We start from the raw sequence: 21,032 nt of genomic DNA, 5'->3' as shown, positions 1-21,032 counted from the left end.
ATCCCACCACGCCTGGCCCAGAGTTTAATTCCTGATGGAGGCTAAACAGCGTTCCATTGTATGTTTGGACCACCCTGTGTCTCTCCATTCTGTGGAGGGACCCTTGGGCTGCTGTGAACGGTGCCACTGTGAACGCAGGTGTGCAGACGTCTCCCCGAGTGGCAGCTTTCTGTCTGTGCGGGGCAGACCTGCGAGTGGGATTGTTGGATCTGCCTGAGCCTCTGACCACAGTGCTGCCCCGGCCTGTTCCCATCTTCCTGTCTGGCATCAGGAGTTCTGATGCGGCCAGCCGAGGCGCAGCATGCGTTGAATGGCTTGGCTGTGGTTTGTGGCATGTGGCTTGTGACCTTGTGACTCTGCTCTCTCTCTCTCTGCCCCTCTCACCTGGTCCAGGTCGCCTTTTGCTCTTGGTGCCAACAAGGACTCACTCTCGGCCTTCGAGTACCCGGGGCCCAAGCGGAAGCTCTACAGTGCCGTGCCCGGGAGGCTCTTCGTCGCTGTCAAGCCATACCAACCCCAAGTGGACGGCGAGATCCCCCTTCACCGCGGTGACAGGGTCAAAGGTCAGTGTCTGCTGGTTGTCCTCCGCTCCTGGAGTGAGGTCAGGCTGGGGCCCTTCACCCGGCCTGCTGTGGGGACGATGTCCAAGGCTGTGCTTCTCCATGGAAAACACGGGCCCCTGGAAGGGCAGGAATGGGGAACAGAGTGACGTTCCCAGACCCTTTCCCTCACTCTCCAGGGAGCTGCTGCGGCTTCCCCAGTGCTGGGTCTCAGGGATCGAAGGGGACACGTCCACTGGGAATGAGATTCCACTTGAGAAGGGCAGTGGGGGAGCCAGATGAGGGCATCGAAGAGCAGAGCTCCTTTCCATCCCCTAAGTCTGAAGTGTCGGGGTGGGCCCTGGCATGGGTCGGCTTTGGGGTCTCCAGGTAGATGGTCCGGTGTGACCTGAGGCCCGGGGCCTGCAGTGTTCAAAGGAAGGAATTCTACCAGGTTGGAAGGAAAGATTCTCAAAGCAGAATCCTGAGAACCAGCGTTGAGAAGCCTCTGGGGGGGCCATTGTCAACACCAGGTCAAGAAGGGGTTAGACATTGTTCCTGGGGTATTGGGGAGCCAGTGATGGTTTCTGCCCAGGGGGAAGTCAGGTGTGTGAAGCACTGCAGGAAGATAAAAGTAGGGTTGGAGGGAAGTTGGCAGTGGTGTCATCTGAGGCACACAGCAGAAGCAACATGGCAGGTGTGGGCTGCGGAGGTTGTGTGGGGTGGTAGGAACTCACTGGGTGGAGCAAGAAAGGCCTAGCACACGTGGCCAGCATGCCCGGGCCCCGCCATTGGAGGGCAGCATGCCGGGCCCTGCCATTGGAGGGCCTTGCCATTGGAGGGCAGGTTGCCATTGGAGTGGCATGGGTGGAAGGTGCGGCCCTTAGAGGTCAGTAGGCCCGGTTCAAATCCCGCCTTCCCCAGCTGGCTGCCTCCTGGCCCCCAGCAGGTAATTGACTCAGTTCCTTTCTCTGCGCGACACACTGATCAGGTCAGCTTGACCTGGGTTACTGCAACATTCTAATGATGGCAGAGCCCCGCCCTCTTGCCTGATGGCCAGTGTTTCTGCTGCACACATATTTCATCATTTGATAGCATCAAACAAGTCCCTGGAGCTCTATTCATTTTTTTCAGTCATTTTTCTTTACATTAGATCATTTCTATTGGTTATTGTTTAAGTTCACTTACCCTTTCCTTTGAAATGTCCCTGTAGCTGTTAAGTCCGTCTTTTGAGTTTTATAATTTCATAAATCATGTTTGCTAGCTTTTCTGTTTATCTGTTTTTATTGTTGCCTTTTATTTGCCAAGATCTCCTATTACCTTGTTGAGATTTTTTTGTTCATTAAAAACTTAGTTTTTTGTTTTGTTTTTACAACACTGTAGGTTGGTGTAATTGCCACTTTAAAATCCTTCACACTTACCCCATCAACTTGGCTGTCTCTCTGAGGACTAGTGCTGAGAGCCACCTTCCCTCCTCCCCACTGAGGCCAGCCCTGAGATGTCGGGTGACAAGGATGTTAAGGCCCCGCAGTGGGGGAGCAAGAGGGGCCATCTGTGCAGGGATCAGGGCCGATGCCGGCCTTGTTAGCAACCCCGTTCTAGGAAGTGAGAGCTGAAGTTCCTAGTTAGAGAGTGTTTTCTGACCGGTCTGCACACTCAGGGCCACCCCCTAGGCCCAAGTGGGAGCCAAGGAAGCTCACTGTCTCTCCAGAGCAGGAAGGGACACACGGTCTTCTTGTCCAGGCCTGTCCCTATTGTAAAGAGGAGAAGCCTGGGGCTCAGGGGTCGGAGGGTGGGAGCTGCTCCTCTGTGAGTCCTGCTTTGGAGCTCACTGATGCCCAAGGAGAAGGCTGGGGTGCGGCTGGCAGTTCCTGTAGGGCAGCCAGGTTAGTCCTGGACTTCCAAAGGGGCAGAGAGGCCTGTGAAGATGAACCTAGAGCCTGGGGCTGGGCATCTGTGGACTCACTCAGGCATACTGACCCATGCTCCGAGAGGGGCAGAGCTGCAGACAGGCTCCCATGCTGTGAACTTGGCACATGTCCCCAGTCCCTTAGACATAGAGCAGAGGCCCATGGGAGTGGGCACTAAACAGCTGAGAGTCCCTTAGAGGGGACCCTGAGTAGCAGCATGGATGAGCAGGAGCTCAAGGGAGAGGGGGAGCCGGTGATGAGCCCCATCAGTGGATCCGAGTCTCCCACAGGCTGGCAGTGGTAGGCAGACTTGAGGACCCAGGACTCGCAGGGGTCCTGGGACATGGCAGGCGAATCCACATCTCACACCTTAATTCCCAGAAGCTCTGGGGGGGCCTTCCCCTGTCCAACTCCCTGGGTTTGATAGAATGATTCAACAAAGGAAAGAAGGGAGGTCACGTGACTCCTATCCAGGCCCCAGGACTGGGCCTCCTCAGCCTCTCTGCCCCTCCCCAGCACACTGGAACCCAGCAGCACCTCCTCAAACATGACCAGACTGGAACCCGCCCCTCGCAGGAGCGTGGGGCGTGCGGGGAGCTGGGCCTTTCTCCCAGGGAGAACAGAAATGACAGAGCTCGGTTCCAAAACTCACACTTCAAAGGATCGATGGCAAAGGACTGCTGTTCTGAAAAGAGATTCGAGTGGGCCGCGCAGGCCATTTGCACACAATTGGCACGGAGCCCCTTCCTGCTGCCAGTGGCACCGCTCTTCCTTCCTGCCGAGCTGTCGGTGCCTCCTCCCCATCGTGGGGTGGCCCGCACATCCTTGCTGCCTGCATGGCAGTGCTTAGAGGCGGGCGGGTCGAGCCGATCCACTGCCTGCAGAGCCAAGGCCGTTTGGAGGAATTCTGTCCCCTTGATATCAAGGGAACAATCATTGTGGGCAGGAAACCCAGCTGCCTGGCTGGCAGGGGCAGGTCTGGGAGGGTTTCCAGAGAAACCAAACTCATTTTTTGCAGTGGAAGTCGGGTCTGGGCAGCAGGCAGGCAGGGTGGCTGTGACGGGCCCCAGGGTGGCCCTGGGGTCCTGCTGATAACACTGCTGCTCCTGGCTCTTTCAGAAGGTTAATTTACATCTCCTCCGCTCGGTCCCATTTGGGAAGGGGTTGACGTTCCCAGTAGACAGTTGCATACCATGTACCTGGGAAAACATACCCCAACATTTTTCTTCTAAAATAAGGGGTGCCCAAAAATAGGTGTGTACATGTTCCGATTCCCCCACTGACGCTCCTTTTTTTTTTTTTTTTAATTCAAGGGCTCTTCTTTGTCCTTCACTGTGCCTGGCACATTCTTCCCTCCACTCCCGATAGTTCTTTATGCGAGATCCAGCATCAGGCTCCTGAGCCAGAGGCTCCTGTCCAAGCTGTGTACCTGAGTGCAGTTTCTCAGCCTCTCTTCCCGAAGTCCCTGCATCTGAGACATGAGAGGAGTTTGTTAAATGTGCAGATCTCCTGGCCATCCATCCCTACATCTGCAGAATTGTGTCTCCAAGGACACAGCCTGGGAATCTGAATAGTTAACAAGCTCCTCAGGTGATTTTGCAGCATTCCTGACTGTGACGGATTGTAGACCCTCTGCAGGCAGGACTTTGTCTTCTTCTTGTTTGTTTCCCAAGCATGTGACACAGTGCTTGGAATGGGATAGATGATGGATGGATGAAATGGCTGGATGGCTGGGTGGGTGGGTGGATGGATGGATGGATAGGTAAATGGATGGATGGGTAGATGGATGGATGGGTAGGCTGGAAGATGGATGGATGGATGGATGGATGTGCGGTTGAGTTTGATAGGTGGGTGAATGAGTGGATAGGTGGGTAGTTGGATAGGTGGTGAGTGAGTGAGTGCATGGCAGCGTGAAAGAATGACAGAGTTTTCTAAATAGCAGTGTGTGTTTTGTCCCACGCTCTCACCACCATGCTTCCATCCTGCTTTTCCTCTGCCCAAACAGCAGCTATCCCTGTGTCTTCCCATCAGCTCCTCCTTCAGGATTCGGCTGCCATGTCCCTTCCTCTGGGAGTGTCCTCGCCCCCACCTGCCACGCTCCCTCTCTACTTTTTGGCCCAGGCCACACAGGCCTCTGATGCAGCACGTAGCACAGTGAGCGTGGTCATTTTAGGGGTTCATTTATTTAACAGACACACAGTGAACCCCTGAGGGTTCGTGGCCATGGGTGAGGCCTAGGGAAGCAGTGATGATTGACCCTGCTTACTGCAAGCCCCCATTCTGGCAAGCAAAAAACTAAGCCCATGACATAGCATTGCCAATGCTGGGGGGTGGGGGCACAGGGGGCGCCAGCGTTTTTGCTCTGTGACATTAGGTAGGTGGACAGTAAGGCCATCCTCCTTTTCTGAAGCTCCTCCAGGTGTCTGCCCCAAATCCTGCACCATCTTTGTGACCCCAGACACCAGCACAGTCCTTGACCCAAGTAAGTCCTGTGTCAATTTAAGCAGAAGGATATGTGGATTCAAGAACACCATGCATGGTTTGAAATTGAAGATGGCCTAGAGGTACATTAGAAACCAGCATGTTGGGTACAGAACAGGAGAAACACTGGGTCTCGGTTCCTCCCTCCTCCGCAGTGACCTGGCAGGTTTCTGTACCCAGGCTGGGGTCAAGGGGGAGAAGGTGGAGTGTAGCAGCGGGGTCGGAGCCACCCCTGACCCATCCAGTACAGGGAATCACCGCTGCTTTCCAGTTTGCAAGAGAGCTGCTGAGGCAGGGAGCGGCCCACTGTGGTGGCCATAGTGAGGACAGCAGAGCTGGCCCTTCTCCAACAAGCTTATCCCCACTGTGGCCTCAGGAAGCATGTGGGGCCCATAGAGAGATCCGCAGTTGGTTTTCATAGGTGCCTTAAAGCATCGTCTGTGTTGGAGCAGACATGGTGTTGAGGATGAACCTTCTTTCTAGCCAGGTTTCCCAGGGCCCCCAGCCGTGCCGTATGTGCCCCTCTCCCGGTCCTCATGCCCTGGGTGCAGTGCCTTCACCTGCTCTCTACCCACCATTCAAAGCACTGCCTCTTCCTGCAGGGTTGCCCCAAGTCTCGCCGCACCCCCTCTGTGCTTCCGTAGTCTTCCTCCTGCCCCTCGGTTTGGCTGGGACGATTCTCATCTGATCCTCTGTGGTAGAGTCAGTCCTATCACACCGTATTCCCCTGCAAGTCTGGGGCTCCAGGGACAGGGTCCTTGACAATTTTTCTAGCCAGAGCACCCAAGAGCAAGGCAGGACTCCAGACTCCAGAATTCCCCTGGTTGCCTGGTCAGAATTCACTCTCAGAATTCACCCTAGTGTTCCACATGGAGTAGGTGGGGCCACAGAGAGAACAGGAGTCCCCGGGATCCCTCAGCATCCCAGTGATGGGGCCAAGTCTCTCACCTCCCAGCCCAGTGCTCGCTCTTGTACTGCTGGGTGGATGGGGACTTCCTCTTCTCCTCCACCTCTTCTTACCCAGGGTGTGGAGTCTTTACTTTTGAATGAATTGCATCAGCAAACAATGGGGTAGCCAAGCCCAGCCCCTTCCTCACCATATGAGGAACACTCATTCCTACCTGGACGCAGATGTTCTGTCAGGGAGGCACTCAAGGCACAAACCCCTCTCTTGCTCCCCATTCTCTGAAGAGGACCAGCAGGTACCATTTGCACAACCAGAAACCCAGAAGGGGCCCCCTCCTCCATTCCCCTGCACCCTCGGCACACGTCCTGCTCTTTTTACGCCCCTGACATGAAGGCTCCCCGTGTTGGGGGGACCCCTTGCAGCACGTCACCTCTGCCTCCTTGTACAAGCCCATTGGAAACAGCCTTTCATATTTTTGGTTGGTCTTGTAATAACAATAACACATCCTGAAGTGCATACTTCATAGAGATTAAATATGGAACTAAAAGGTGTGATTCTCCTGGAGAGGGGAGTTTGGAAGGAAAGTCAGGCAGGAGTGTTGAGTCCTCATTCCACACTGGGCTCACGTGCCTCCGATTCACGCATAGAAACACTTATGAGCTAGATAGTATTGTCATGCTCTGATAAATGAGGAAACCGAGGTACAGAGAGACCGAGTTTTCCCAAGCATCACATAGCTAAGATAGGGCAGAGCTTCCATGGAAGATGATACCAATCTCTACCTATGCAGTTCCCTTCTCCCCAGGCCCATATAAAACAGCAGAATGACCTCACAGCCGTGAAGGAAGGAGAGTGTGGGTATCTGTGGGCACTGGCTCCTGGTGGCGCAGCAGCAAGTCCTTGGCCTCCCTTTGCAGCCCGGGGTTACTGCTCTGAGATGACCCTCTCAGGTCCAGGGTTCTGCTGGGAAACTGTGAGGCACATCCCGGCCAGCTGGGCTGAGAGGAGCCCACAGGCCCTGCATCGAGTTTTGGAGGAGATGCTTCAGGCAGTGATGATTGTCCTGGTCACCTGGGATGTGGCTGATCTGTTTCAGTTAGGTCATTTCTTCAGGTTATTAGGAACTTATAAAGTGGGGTTTTCAGTTCCATTAACCTTCAAAAATCGTGGGCTGAGTGGTTCTCTGTCTGGCCTTTGAGATTCAAATGAGGGCTAGAGGAAAACACTTATGGGGCCATAATTCCTCTTTCAGCAGGGCTGTTGCCTTTGGATCCTGAGTAATTTAAAAGAAGGTAAAGATGTGGAGAAATCAGATTGTTTTCCTCCTTGCTTAGACACATTAGGAGGGAGTGAAGGTGTTGAGGGCATCCCTGGCCCAGCACCAAAGTCCTAAGTAAGATACAGACCGGCGCAGTGGCTCACGCCAGTCATCCGAACCACTTTGGGAGGTGGAGGCAGGTGATTGCTTGAGCTTAGGGTTTTGAAACCAGCCTGGGCAACATAGTGAGACCCTGTCTCTAAAAAAAGTAATTATAATAATAATGAGGTGTCGTGGTACACGCCTGTCATCCCAGCTACTCAGGAGGCTGAGGTGGGAGGATCACTTAAGCCTGGGAGTCAAGGCTGCAGTGCGCTGTGATGACACCACTGCACTTCAGCCTGGGTGACAAAGCCTCTAAAAAAAACAAAAAACAAAAAAAAAACCCTAAGATATAAAGATTTTCCTTCCTCACTTTGCCACTGCAAGCTTTATGACAGAAATAGTTATCACAGTAGGGCCATGGGGACCGGCGGGGTCCTCCTGACCTTGCCCCCACCCCATGGTGTCTTTGGGCTTATGTCCCTCACCCATGCTCAGCAGTTGAGTTTAAAAACAAACATGCTTTATTCTTCCAGCGGATGTTCATTGAGGGCCTACTGTGTACCCAGTACATGGGCTGGGGAGGGATGCCTGTGTCTGGACTCAGCAACTTCCACCCTGTAGGCTGGGGTGGCCGTGTCTGTCCAGTGATGTGCGTGGTCCCCAGGACAGGGTCACTGTGTGGCCACCATCCCTTCTCTCCTGGGGAATTGGCTTCTTTCAACCACAAGTCAGAAAGAAAACTGCAGTCCTTGCCAGCAACCACGTAATGAATAGGTTCCTGATTAATAAGCCAGCATGCCTGTGGGCCAGGCCTCCAAGGGGCTGGTGCTGACTGTGTGAGGTTTTTAGTGCAGTTTCTTCCATTTTAAGTGAAGATAATTCCACGTCCACACCATTGTCAGATGATTCGTGAGCTGCTCGCCCATCCTCTGCTGTGATTTCTTTTTCTTTCTTTTTTTTTTGAGATGGAGTCTCACTCTGTCACCCAGGCTGTGAGTGCAGTGGCACAATCTTGGCTCACTGCAACTTCCATCTTCCGGGTTCAAGTGATTCTCCTGCCTCAGCCTCCTGAGCGAGTAGCTGAGATTACAGGCATGGGCCACCATGCCCAGCTAATTTTTGTATTTTTAGTAGAGACGCGGTTTGGCTATGTTGGCCAGGCTGGTCTTGAACTCCTGACCTCAGAGGGTCCACTCCCCTCGGCCCCCCAAAGTGCTGGGATTACAGGCATGAGCCACCGCGCCCAGACCTCTGCTGTGATTTCTCCTTCCGCACGCTTGTTTAGAAGATCCAGACAGAGCCGGGCAGGTGGATTTTCTTTCCTCCAGGCCATCTGCCTCCGGTTCTTGCCCAGCTTAGGAGGGGAAGGTACGACCTCATCATTTCCTCCCTGCTTTGTGGCGGTGCCCCCCGACTCCACTTTTATATCTGAAATCATTGATGGTAAGGACAGCCAAGCACCACTGTCCTGTCTCATGTGCAACACTGAGAGATGCTACAGGGCCGCCGTGCACATCCATTCATATGACGTGGTGTCAGATACGTAAAGATGCAAACATGTCAGTGCTTCATTCCTGTCTCATCACCTAAGGGGCACAGGGCACCTGTGGTCTGCAGTGGTGATGCCCCGGTGCCTCTTAGCACTGTCAGCAGCTGAAGGAAGTGCAGTCACACCAGAGCCGCTTGCTCTGCAGGCCTGGCCAGGGGTGCGCTGATTCTCCTGCCTCTGCCCAGCCCCACTCGTCTTGTTCAACCTCAGGCCCTCCACGTCCCCCCTGCTAACACCTCTCCCTTTTTGTCGTCTCTAGTTCTGAGCATCGGTGAAGGGGGCTTCTGGGAAGGCAGCGCCCGCGGCCACATCGGATGGTTTCCGGCGGAGTGCGTGGAGGAGGTCCAGTGTAAGCCCAGGGACAGCCAGGCAGGTAAGGCGAGCGCTCGTGGCCGCCCACCCTCGATCCTGCAGGCCTATCTCAGGCCCGTGGTCGGTGTTGTCCGTGGCAAGATTCGGCCGTTGCGTCGTAGAGGGAGGCTGAGTTGCGAATTCAGGACTTTCTAGATCTTTGGAAACAGGTTGGTTGCTTTCATTCCTCTGGGCTTCATCCAAACCAGAAATTCCTTACAAGATGGTGTGGAAGCTTTTAGTTAAAAGGCTGCTCAGTACACGTCCCAGAAAACCTGGACCGTATGTTCTAGCCATCAGAGAGAGACTTTTGGGGGTTGATTAGATTTCTTTTTCGATCTCTTCTATCGATGGCATAAAACAGGCAGCTTCCCATGTGCAGGCGAGATGCTCCTGTGCCGCCCTGAGAACACGTAGCAAACGCCTCCGTAAAAACTGCTCGAAAGAGTTCAGTGTTCCGACGGGAAGCCATTCCAGCATCTCTCTTAGAACCTCCAGATATAGCACTTGCTGAAAATCGTTTCAAAATTGATTGCCGAGAGATTGAACTGATTAAAATGTGAAGAGGAGACCACTTATATAAAATGGTACCGAGTGTGTGTGTGTGTGTGTGTGTGTGTGTGTGTGTGTGTATGAGAGTGGAGGAAAAGTGAAGCCTTAAGTGTCTTATAAGAAGAAAGCAGTCCGCATGTGAACGGCATCTGGCTTTTAGTAGAATCCCAGGCTCACAGAACACGTGTCAAGTGGCCACGGACGCTGCGGCCACCAACCATGCACGCCTTCTTGTGCGGAGCCTGCCGCCTCTGAGCTCTGTCCAAACGGGCCCATTGCCCTGTTTTTGAGGTTCCTAGTCTGTGGGCTCACTAGGTAGCCCTCTGCCGCCTGATCAGATCTGCCAGGGCCAGCCAGGCCCTACAAACGTGTGTTCTGGAAAGCAAGGAGGAGTCTGTCCTGGACCTGGCTGGCTTTGCAGTCTCTAGCAGGGAGGCTCAGTAGGTTTTCTGTCTGAGATCTTGGCTTCAACGGGGACTCAGTTCGTGCATCAGCTTCCCTGCTGATGAGTCCCTGCTCAGGCTTAGACACCAGACGGTATTGTGGGGTATTGAGTTAAGACATGTCCCAAACTTAACTATGAAGGAGAAGCTGGGAATGTGCTCCACTCGGAAGGCTGGGTGGGAGGGAGTGTGTTTTTCTGGATGTGGCGATGACAATGTTACCAACAAAGCTGGTCTTCCCAAGAATGGGGTCTTTCTCTGTTGTGTGCTACACAGCCAGTATCCAAAAGCAAAAGTGAGCTTCAAGCAGCACAGGCTTTATTTGTTGGCCATGGAACCGAGAAGCGGGAGCTTGGCTCACAGATCCATTTATCAGCTCCCGAGGGCTGGGAAGTCACAGAGCTGGGGCCTCTGTAATAAAGGGATTGGGCATTAAATCAAGGGGAGGAATATTCATGTCTTTTCTGGAAATGGGCAGAGAGCTTCTCAGAACCGGTGTGCCGCCTTCCTTTCTGTCCTTTTACGGTTTCTTTCTGTTGTTGTCATGGTGATTGTCAACTATCCTGGTGCTGGGGGGAGGGTCATTTAGCATGGAAATCAGACTGTAATGAGGTTAGAGGTTCTTCAGAAGCCAAGTGAGCTGCCATCTTGGATCCCACTAGTCTTAGCCTTTTTGGTCACCAGGGGGAGCTTCTGACCTCAGGCATCCTGTTGCCTCAAGATAAGCAGAGTTGAACCAGGTAGACCACACGGGATTTACACTGGGCAGCAATCACACTGAGCACTGGCACAGGCCAGACCTCCAAGCCCTGCCATTGCCCGTCCACCCCTGGTCCACACCCACCCTCTCCTGCAAGCAACCTTCCCCTGCCTCACTTGTCTGAGAAGGGCCAGGCCCTGGAGCTCAGCTTGCCTCCCAGGGTTGCTCAATGCCTTCCTTCTCCCTGTCCTCCAGTCCTCCTCTTCCTGAGCAGCCACCACTCCTCCCTCTCCTGGCACTCACCTTCAGAGCCACACTGGCTGCCCTCCCTCTACTCTTTTGTTGGAAGGACTCAACTGTGCCAGCACCGGGCTTTGTTGGCTATGCCACACCTGGATGGGGCAGTCCTGGAGGGCTGCTGCGTAGGGGGATCATTTGAGCTTCCTGCTCTCTCCATCCTCCAGAGAGTAGCGGCTTCCAGGATAGTGTGCAGGAGGAAGCAGGGCAGCTGGAGCAACCTGTCTTCCTCCTCTCTCCTGTGGGCTTTTCCCGTCCACCTGCCAGCATCACCCTGTGTGCCCTAGATGAGAACGTATGGCTTTCTCTAGCCCCGTTGACAGGGTCCCCACCCAGGGCAGGTGGGCGAGGTGGAGTCTGCCAGAAAATGTACATCCTGTGCAGGCAGCTTCCAGAGGGGCGGTGGTTTGTGTTTGTGTTTACTGTGGGAGGAGGTTATTTAAGGGGTAAGACAGAGGTTTCTAGAAGGGTGATCTTGCTCCAGCTCACACTCCCAGGACAATGTCCTTGATAAAACCGTATTTTCTACCTGGGCTGATGCGGGTGTGAGTCTCACTTGGCTAAAGTCAGGGCATCAGCAGGGCTGCATTCCTTTCTGCAATCTGTGGGGGAGAATTTGTTTCCTTGCCTTTCCGACATCCTTGGCTCATGGCCCCTTCCTCCGTCTCCAAAGCCAGCACCTGTTGGTAGGGTCCTTCTTCCATTGCATCTCTCCAACCCTCCCTTCTGCCTCCTCTTCTTCCACTTTTAAGAACCTGTGTGATTATGGCCAGGTGCAGTGACTCACACCTGTAATCCCAGCACTTTGGGAGACTGAGGTGGGCAGATCTCTTGAGTTTAGGAGTTCGAGACCAGCCTGGCCAACATGGTGAAACCCTGTCTGTACTAAAAATGCAAAAATTAGCCGGACATGGTGCCATGCACCTGTAGTCCCAGCTCCTCGGGAGGCTGAGGCAGGAAAATTGCTTGAACCTGGGAGGCGGAGGTTGCAGTGAGCTGAGATTGCACCACTGCACTCCAGCCTGGGCAACATAGCAAGACTCCATCTCAAAAAAAAAAAAAAAAGAAAAAGAAAGAAAAGAAAAAAGAAAAGAAAAGAACCCATGTGATTAGATGGGCCCACCTTGCTAATCCAGGTCAAGTAAACTGATGGGCCGCCTTAATTCTGCCTGCAACCTTAATTCCCTTTTGCCTTAAGGGAGCATATTCACAGGTTCTAGGGATTAGGACCTGGGCATCCTAGGGAGGAGCCATCTTTCTCCCTAACACAGATGGCAAAAATGAACATCAGAACTCTCCTCTAACACAAAGGCTGTGGGTCAGGGAAGGAAGGCATCTCTGTGACCTGGGATGGAAGGAGGTACACCAAGATCACAGCACAGAGGAGTCGAGGAGGGCGGGGAGGATTCCACAGTGGTTCCTGCTGGGTTCTGCTTGCCCTTGGGTGTTCTAAGATCGTGACTTAGCACCTTCTTTTGTATTATCTTCTTTTATAGAGGTGTGATTTACATACAGGAAAACACACAGATTATAAGAAAAATCTAGTTCAGTGCATTTTGACAAATGTATATACCCACGTCTCCAACTGCAAATAAGATATTAAACCCTTCCTTCACAGGCCAGGTGTGGTGGCTCATGCCTGTAATCTTTGCACCTTGGGAGGCCAAGGCGGGTGAATCACTTGAGGTTAGGAGTTTGAGACCATCCTGGCCAACATGGTGAAACCTGTCTCTACTGAAAATACAAAAATTAGCTGGGCATGATGGTGATGCCTGTAATCCCAGCTACTTGGGAGGCCGAGGCATAAGAATCACTTGAACCTGGGAGGTGGAGGTTGCAGTGAGCCAAGGTCGCACCATTGCACTCCAGCCTGGGTGACAAGAGCAAAACTCCATCTCAAAAAATATATAAAATAATTTTTAAAAACACCTTTCTTTCACCCCAGGAAGTGATCTCAGGCTGTCTTCCAGCCATCCCTCCCCATCCCACACCGGAAGCAAGTGTGGTTCTGATTTCTGTCACCATAGACCATAGATTTCTGTCACCATAGATTTTGCCTATCACTGGATTTCATGTAGATGAGACCCTGCAACTTGTACTCTCGGGCCCAACTTCTTTCCCTCAGCCTAATGCCTGTGATATCAGCTATGTATTGCAGGACTCAGTGGTTTATATGTTGTTTTTTTTTTTTTTTCTGAGACGGAGTCTCTGTTGCCCAGACTGGAGTGCAGTGGCACCATCTCAGCTCACTGCAAACTCCCACTCCAGAGTTCAAGTGATTCTCATGCCTCAGCCTCCCTAGTAGCTGGGATTACAGGCTCCCACCACCACACCTGGCTGATTTTTGTATTTTTAGTAAGGAGGGGATTTCACCATGTTTGCCAGACTGGTTTTGAACTCCTGACCTCAAGGGATCCACCTGCCTTGACCTCCCAAAATGCTGGGATTACAGGCATGATCCACCATGCCCAGACAGCAGTTTATAAATGTTTATTGCTGGCTAGTGTTTTATGGTGTATTTACACCACAGTTTGATCATTCTCCTGATGATGGACATGTGGATTGCTTCTCAGTTTTGGCTAATATGAATGAACCTGCTAAAAAAGGTTTTTGTGTGAGTCTTTTTAAGGACATACATTTTTATTTCTCTAGGTAGAAAACTGCTGGGTTGTATGATAACATTTTCATTTTATAAGAAACTACCACACAGTTCTCCAAAGTGCTGTCCCATTTTGTTCTCCTACCGGCAGTGTGTGAGAGTTCCAGTTGCTCCACTTTCTCATCAACATTTGGCAATATCAGTCTGTTTAACTTCAGCTGTTCTAATAGATATGAAATGATATCTTATTGTGGGTGTAATTTGCATTTTTCTGGGGATGATGATTAGGCATCTCTTTGTGTGCTCATTTGCTGTATGTATAGCTTCTTTAAGTCTTTGGTTCATTTTTAATGGCAGTGTTCATCTTTTCCTTATTGGTTTGTAGGAGTTCTTTATATATTCTGTTTATCAGTCCTTTGTCAAATATATGCTGCAAACATTTTTCCCAGCCTGTGACTTGCGTTTTCATTTTCTAACTACAGTCATCTCTCAGTATACGTGGGGATTGGTTCCAGGACACCACCACCTCACATCATATACCAAAATCCACCTCAAGTCCCACAGTCATCTCCATGGAACCTGTGTATGTGAAGTCAGCCCTCTGTATATGCAGGTTTTATTTCACACGAATATTGTGTTTTCAATCTATATTTAGTTGAAAAATCCACATGTAAGTTGACCCATGCAGTTCAAACCCATGTTGTTCAAGGGTCAACTGTATGTCTTTTAATGAGTAGAAGGGTTTTTAAAATTTTGAATCTAATCCAAATTATTCTTTTTTTCTTCCACGTTAGTGCTTTTTGTCACTTTTTTCTTTTGAGTCAGGGTCTTGCTGTGTCATCGAGGTGGGAATGCAGTGGTGCCATCAGGGCTCATTACATGCCTTGACTTCCCAGTCTCAAATGATTCTCCTGCCTTATTTTAAAATTTATTTTATTAGTGTATTTTTTTGTAGAGACGAGTTCTCACTATGTTGCCCAGGCTGTTCTTGAACTCCTAGGCACAAGTGACCCTCCTGCCTCGGTCTCCCAAAATACTGGGATTGTAGGTGTGAGCCACCATGCCTGGCCCTTTTTGTAGCTTTTTTTGATGCTGAAAATTAGAAGACTTTGGATATACATAGAATCTGGAAGATGGTACAAAATGTTTTTAGATGTTCCCATCCACCAAGCTCTTTCTACACAGTAGACCTTGCTTGCACCCTTGGAAGCTGTTTCTCTTTTATGGAGCACCATTGCTTTATGTTGTAAAATGAACATTTAGTTGGTAAACTCCATTCATGAACATTAAATGAAATAAGTGAGTGACTCACAGAATGAATAACTCAGTAAAGAAGTGGCTGCTCAGGACCCAGTGAATTCTCATAGCCTCATGACAGTTGCTGGAGGTTGGGGATAACAAACAGCAAAATCAAATGGTGGTCCTCGTTGGTTGGTTGGTTGGTTGGTTGGTTGGTTGGTTGGTTGGTTGGTTGGTTGGCTGGTTGGCTGGTTGGTTGGTTGGTTGGTTAATTAGCTAGCTGGCTTGCTGGTTGGTTGGTTGGTTGGTTGGTTGGTTGGTTGGTTGGTTGGTTGGTTGATTGATTGCTTGGCTGGCTGGCTGGCTAGCTGGCTGGTTGGTTGGTTGGTTGATTAGCTGTCTAGCTGACTGATTAGTTGGTTGGTTGGTTGGTTGGTTGATTAGCTGTCTGGCTGACTGGTTGGTTGGTTGATTAACTAGTTGGCTGACTGACTGATTGGTTAGTTGGTTGGTTGGTTGGTTGGTTGGTTAGCTGGCTGGCTGATTGGTTTGTTGGTTGGATGGATGGTTGGTCAAATGATACAAGTTCAGCTTAGTTCCATGAATAGTTTGGTAGTTATGCCTTCAAGATATAGTGGGCTTACTCACCTGAGCCTTAGTTGTAATTTCTTAAGGCTGCATGTTTATGGGACTTCACAGTCTCCAGTGGGCTTTCCTGCATGCTGTCTCATCCAACCTTCTGGAATAAGTAGGGCAGGAATCATCACCTGCATTGTACACATGAGCATCCCCATCTCAGCATGTCGGAGCACACAGATAGGGAGTTACTGGGCAGGGACTATGACCCATTATTTGTAACTACTGATGCTTGAGCTGTGACCTGTACCTGCATCAGGACAGTGTTTCTCATGCAGTGATCAGGGTGGTGATCCTGGTGTGACTGCCAGTGATTAATCCTCCTGCACATCCACCTGAGGCAATGGGGAAACAGAAACATATCCGGGTCTATTCTCAGCTCAGCTGTCTCTGGCTAGCTCTGAGTAGACTTCTTTATCTGAAATGTGAAGCCTGGAGATGATGCGTATGAAGAGTTGGGTGGAAGTTTATGATCATAGCTTTTTTGTTTCTGTGCGTAAGAGACAGAGGCATGCCCAGATTTATAAAATCTCACTTCTTTGCATGCATCAGCCCAGAGACCTGAGAGCTAAGTGCCACATATGACTATGTTGTTATTATATGCAAGAGGAGATGCATCTTGGAAGATGGTGCTCTAGAAAATTGGTGCTTAATTACATGCATGTCCTCACCCCATCCTGCTGGAGTTTAGGCTCTCTGAGGGCAGGGACACCTGTGCCCTGCATGGTGCCTATCCAGGACAGAGTGCATGTCAGTTGGCCCACCGCGTTTGTGAAAAGGAGGTTGGGTGGTGTTGCACTTGATCAGTTAGGAGTTGGAAGGTCTGGCTTTTGTCAAGACTCTAAAGCTTTCCACCCATTTGTATTAGGTAGCTCAATGTCAGCTGCTACGACAAGTGAACCCACAACTTCAGTGGCTTAATGGAGTGCAGGTTTTTTTCCTGCCCAGTAGCCACCCAGTGTGGTCTCTTCTGGTCAGCAGACGGGCTGATTTTCTCCATGATGTGACCAAGCAGTCCAGGCCCTTCCATTCTGTGGCCTGGTCATCCTCGAGGACCTTAGGGTCCCCTGCCCCCAGCCTGCAGAGACGGGGAGAGAGAATGGAGAAACGCTGCCCTCTTGTGTGAGGCTCTGGCACATCAGGGACACACATCATCGCCCGTGACACCCTGTGGAGGGAACCTGGATGCTGCAGATGCTGGGACCTGTGGTCCCGGGCCAGGAGCCACCTCCTGGTGACTGTTTGAGTCAAGATTCTCCAGAGAAACAGAACCAGTAGGACGTAGACACAGATGTAGATACAGATAGAGCGTATGTATTAAGAGACTCATTTCAAGGACTTGGCTCACCCGATCATGGGAACAGGCAAGTCTAAAATCCTCTGGGCAGTCCAGCAGCCTGGAACGCCCAGACAGGAGCTGGTGCTGCAAACTTGATGCAGAATCTCTTCTTCCTCAAAGAAACCTCAATTTTGCTCTTGAGGCCTTTTAAATGATTGGAGGAGGCCCACCCACATTACTGAGAAAAATGTTGACTTCAAGCCAACAGACTGTAAATGTTAACCACATCTACAAAATACCCTCCCAGCAACACCTAGGCTAGTGCTTGGCTGCATAACTGGGTGCTATAGCCTGGTCCGTTGGCCCATAAAGCTGACCCTCTTTATGCACCCTGGGTGGAGAGACAGTGCCCTGGGTGGACATGCACCCTGGGTGGAGAGACAGTGCCCACCTCCCCTACTGGGGACTTGACTGCCTTCCGCATCTTCCAAGACATCAATTTCCTCATCTGTGAATTCAGGCTGGTGGATTGTAGAATCACTTGATCCTTCCTCCTCAGAATTCTACACATTGAAATCAGGGGTGCCCCTGTTGATGTATCTTGACTAAGAAACAAAGATAAAATATTTCCGAAGTAATCAGTTGGCACCCATGGATGAGGCAGTTTATGAAAAATGAATGCAATGCACGTGTGTGCAGTTTTCAGCGACACATCTTATGTGTACATGGAAACTGTCAGGCCAGGGCTCTCTGTTTATCCCTGAGAAAATGACAAGGCCAAGCAGCACCAGAGCAAATCGTATTTTAGTTGCTGAAACAAACAAAAGACTTGACTATCAGTGAGCACCATTCATGTAGAACATGATGAGAAAATGGGTGTGATGAGTCACCGCTGTACATCCCTGTTTCCATCCTCCAGAGACAGGTAGGATCTGGTCACCTGAAAGCCACTGAGGTAGGAGTGGGGGCCTCACAGCCAGGCAGCTCAGACTGGGGCATAAGATGCCACATTCTCAACTCCTACTTCACTCCTGGGCACCTACCCAGATGAGCAGCACCTACCCAGTGTAGTTTTGGCATGTCCTGTGCCGTATGCACCACCAGAGCCTGTTGGAGTCGGGATCCTCAATCAGCTGCAGAGACCACCGAGGAAGTGACTTGATGGGATTCTCTGCAGAATGGGCTTCCGGAATCTTCTGGCTGACTCCCTGGTGCAGGGGTCTCGACTGGGTAGAAGGTGTGAGTGTAGGATGGGATTAGCCGTGCCTTCCCTTGACTGGCCACTCTTGTGGGGTAAGTCTGCATTTAAGAATAGGCCCCATGGCTCTCTAGAAGTTTCTAGAAGCTAGCCATAAGCATAGGATCTAGATCAGAAAGTCAGAGCTCTGACCAGGAAACAGATGTGGTTTGCAGTGTGTCTTTTCTACTTTTTTGTGGCACTCAATGGAGAAGAGACAGGACCTCATTTGAGCCTCGTAATTGCCCTTAATGGGAGGTGCCTTTATGATCCCCGCTTATTCATAAGGAAACACGTGTTGTGTATGTCTGGGAAGCATGTGTGCCAGGCTGTCCAGATTCCCAAGCTCTCTTCCCATGGACTGTTCCCATTCAGAATCCCTGCCGTGGACTCTCCTTTCCAGCCACTCTCTAATTTACCAGCGTAGGGGGCCCTTACTGGGAGCATCTTACAGCTTAGCATTGCCATTTGCTCTGAGAAGTGTCTCCGGACCGCCACCAGCCCCACACCCCAAGGACTAATGGGCATAACATTCTCGGATCTCTCCTTCAGATCGTGTGGACCCGACAGGGTGGTGGTGAGGCTGGCATGTGTTTCCTCCTCCCAGAAATCGACCTGAGAGCAGTGCGTTGCTCCTCTATCATCTGAAGCCACACCTGGAGCCGTCACCTCCTGTCTCCTATAGGACACCCTGTGTGGCCTCGTCGGGGTTTCAGGACACACTTGGAGTTTAAATCTCCTCCTCCCAAATCCAACCCTGGGGTCAGGGCTGGGCAGGAGAAGGATGGGGACCTCTTGGTTTTACCAACTCTTTTGTGACTGCAGCAGTCCCCTGTTATCTTCAGGGGCTACCTCCCAAGACCCCCATTGGGTGCCTGAAATGGGGGACAGCGCTGAACCCTGTACTGCCCTGTACTGCATACACCATGTTTTTGGTCTGATATCAGAGCCAGCTCCTAAGTGACTAACCAGTGGGTGGTGTGGACAGCAGGAGTGCGCTGGACAAAGGGATGAGTCACTTCCCCCGGGCGGAACGGCACTCGACATCACGCTACTCAGAATGGCATGCAATTGAAAACTTTTCAACTGTTTATTTCTGGACTTTTCTGTTCAATATTTTCAGACTTCAGTTGACCGTGGGTGATTAAAACCTCAGAAAGTGAAACCATGGATAAAGGGAAGCTGCTGAAGTCACAAGTGACTTGGGGCCACTGTCCTTTGAGATTTCTTGTCTGTGGCCATTGATAAGAAGACGACACAATGAGGAAAGTCCTCATCCACAATGGCCCTGGTGGGGGACCTGTCCTCTTGGCTGTCACACCTCCCAGTTCAACACTAGGTCAGCTTCTGGGATCCACCTGCTCTCCCTCGGGAGCCATATCATGTATGCACTGGAGTAAGTCATGTTCCGCCATCCTGCAGGCCATGTAACGTTATCGTTCCAGCCTTTTCAGAGCACACAGTTCCAAACCTTGTCCCTGTGGTTGCATCCTCTCACCTCTCATTTGATGTTTATAGGTAACTCATGTGATCCTCAGAGTAAACTTGGGAGGGGGGCATGCAGTGATGTTAGTCCATTTGACACGAGGTCAGAGATGGTGAGTGACTTGCTCAGAAGCAGGGGTGGCCGGCCCAGGACCTAAACATAGATACATCTGAGCTGACATCTGTTTCCTTTACCTGGAGGCTGGAGCATCCCCAGGGTCAGCCAGCCTCTGAGATGTTAAGATTTTGTGGCCTTGGAGTCAGGGACCAGGGGTGGTGGTGGTGGTGGTAATGATGATAAGTAGTTGATGGCAGCCATGGTGATGCTGTTTATGGTGGTGGTGGTGTTGGTGGCGGTCATGGTGATGATCGTGGTGATGCTGGTGGTGGTGCTCATGGCGATGATGGTAGTGATGCTGGTGGTGGTGGTCATGGTGATGGTCATGGTGATGATGGTGTTGATGCTGGTGGTGGTGGTCTTGGTGATGATGGTGGTGATGCTGGTGGTGGTGGTCACGGTGATGATAGTGGTGATCCTAGTGGTGGTGGTCTTGGTGATGACAGTGGTGATGCTGGTGGTGGTGGTGGTCACGGTGATGATAGTGGTGATCCTAGTGGTGGTGGTCATGGTGATGCTGGTGGTGATGCTGGTGGTGGTGGTGGTCATGGTGGTCATGGTGATGATGGTGGTGATGCTGGTGGTGGTGGTCATGGTGATGATGGTGGTGATGCTGCTGGTGGTGGTGGTCACGGCGATGATAGTGGTGATCCTAGTGGTGGTGGTCATGGTGATGATGTTGGTGATGCTGGTGTTGGTGGTGGTCATGCTGGTGGTGGTGATGCTGGTGGTGGTGATCTTGGTGATGGTGGTGATGCTGGTGGTGGTCATGGTGATGATGGTGGTGATGCTGGTGGTGGTGGTCATGGTGCTGATGGTGATGCTCATGGTGGTGATCTTGGTGATGATGGTGATGCTGGTGATGGTGGTCGTGGTGATGCTGGTGGTGATGCTGGTGGTGGTGGTCATGGTGATGATAGTGGTGATGCTGTTTTTGTTGGTGATGATGGTAGTGATTCTATTGATGGTGATAGTCATGGTGATTGATGGTGGTAGTGATGTGACTAGCAATGATGCTGGTGGTGATGGTGTCAGAGGTTTTAAGATGATAAAGGGATGATGCTAGTCAAGTCTGGCACTCCACCTTGGTGAACGCTACTGCTCTGGCCATGAACAAATATTCTTCCTCATCCCAGCCCTGTGCAGCCTTCCCTTTGTTTGGAGGAGGTTCCTGGCTTTCCCCTTCTAGTTCTTGAAATTTCATTTCTTTCCTCACATCCCCTCTTGATGTAAAGAAATCAACACCACACTTGGTGCCCTTGAGAAAAATTATTTTACCCTTGTATGTCTCAGCTTTCTCATCTGTAAGTTGGATTTATATGCCCTGCAGATAGACACGCCCTGCAG

The 21,032-nt window shown here is 51.2% G+C and overlaps 1 protein-coding gene across 23 annotated transcripts in view, besides 1 other annotated feature; it reads left to right on the top strand.

Moving 5' to 3' along the window:
• The window catches only part of SHANK2 (SH3 and multiple ankyrin repeat domains 2), a 785,381-nt gene that overhangs the window by 445,670 nt on the left and 318,679 nt on the right, over positions 1 to 21,032 (top strand). For all 23 annotated transcript variants that reach the window (NM_001441030.1, NM_001441032.1, NM_001441037.1 and 20 more), the window contains 2 exons: positions 394 to 563; positions 9,009 to 9,122. In NM_001441030.1, the coding sequence (NP_001427959.1) occupies positions 394 to 563; positions 9,009 to 9,122 (284 nt within the window). The remainder of the gene's footprint in view (positions 1 to 393; positions 564 to 9,008; positions 9,123 to 21,032) is intronic.
• Positions 18,181 to 19,380: an enhancer, noted in NCBI's record as "P300/CBP strongly-dependent group 1 enhancer chr11:70634290-70635489 (GRCh37/hg19 assembly coordinates)". NCBI's record gives its function as "activates an origin of replication core promoter dependent on BRD2, BRD4, P300/CBP, MED14 and CDK7 cofactors, with strong dependence on P300/CBP, by STARR-seq in HCT116 cells {active_cell/tissue: HCT116}" and the evidence as "EXISTENCE:reporter gene assay evidence [ECO:0000049][PMID:35650434]".

This window comes from Homo sapiens, chromosome 11 (assembly GCF_000001405.40).
Source record: "Homo sapiens chromosome 11, GRCh38.p14 Primary Assembly".
NCBI classification, from domain to species: Eukaryota; Metazoa; Chordata; class Mammalia; order Primates; family Hominidae; genus Homo; species Homo sapiens.
This window is presented reverse-complemented; position numbering and strand designations above follow the sequence as displayed.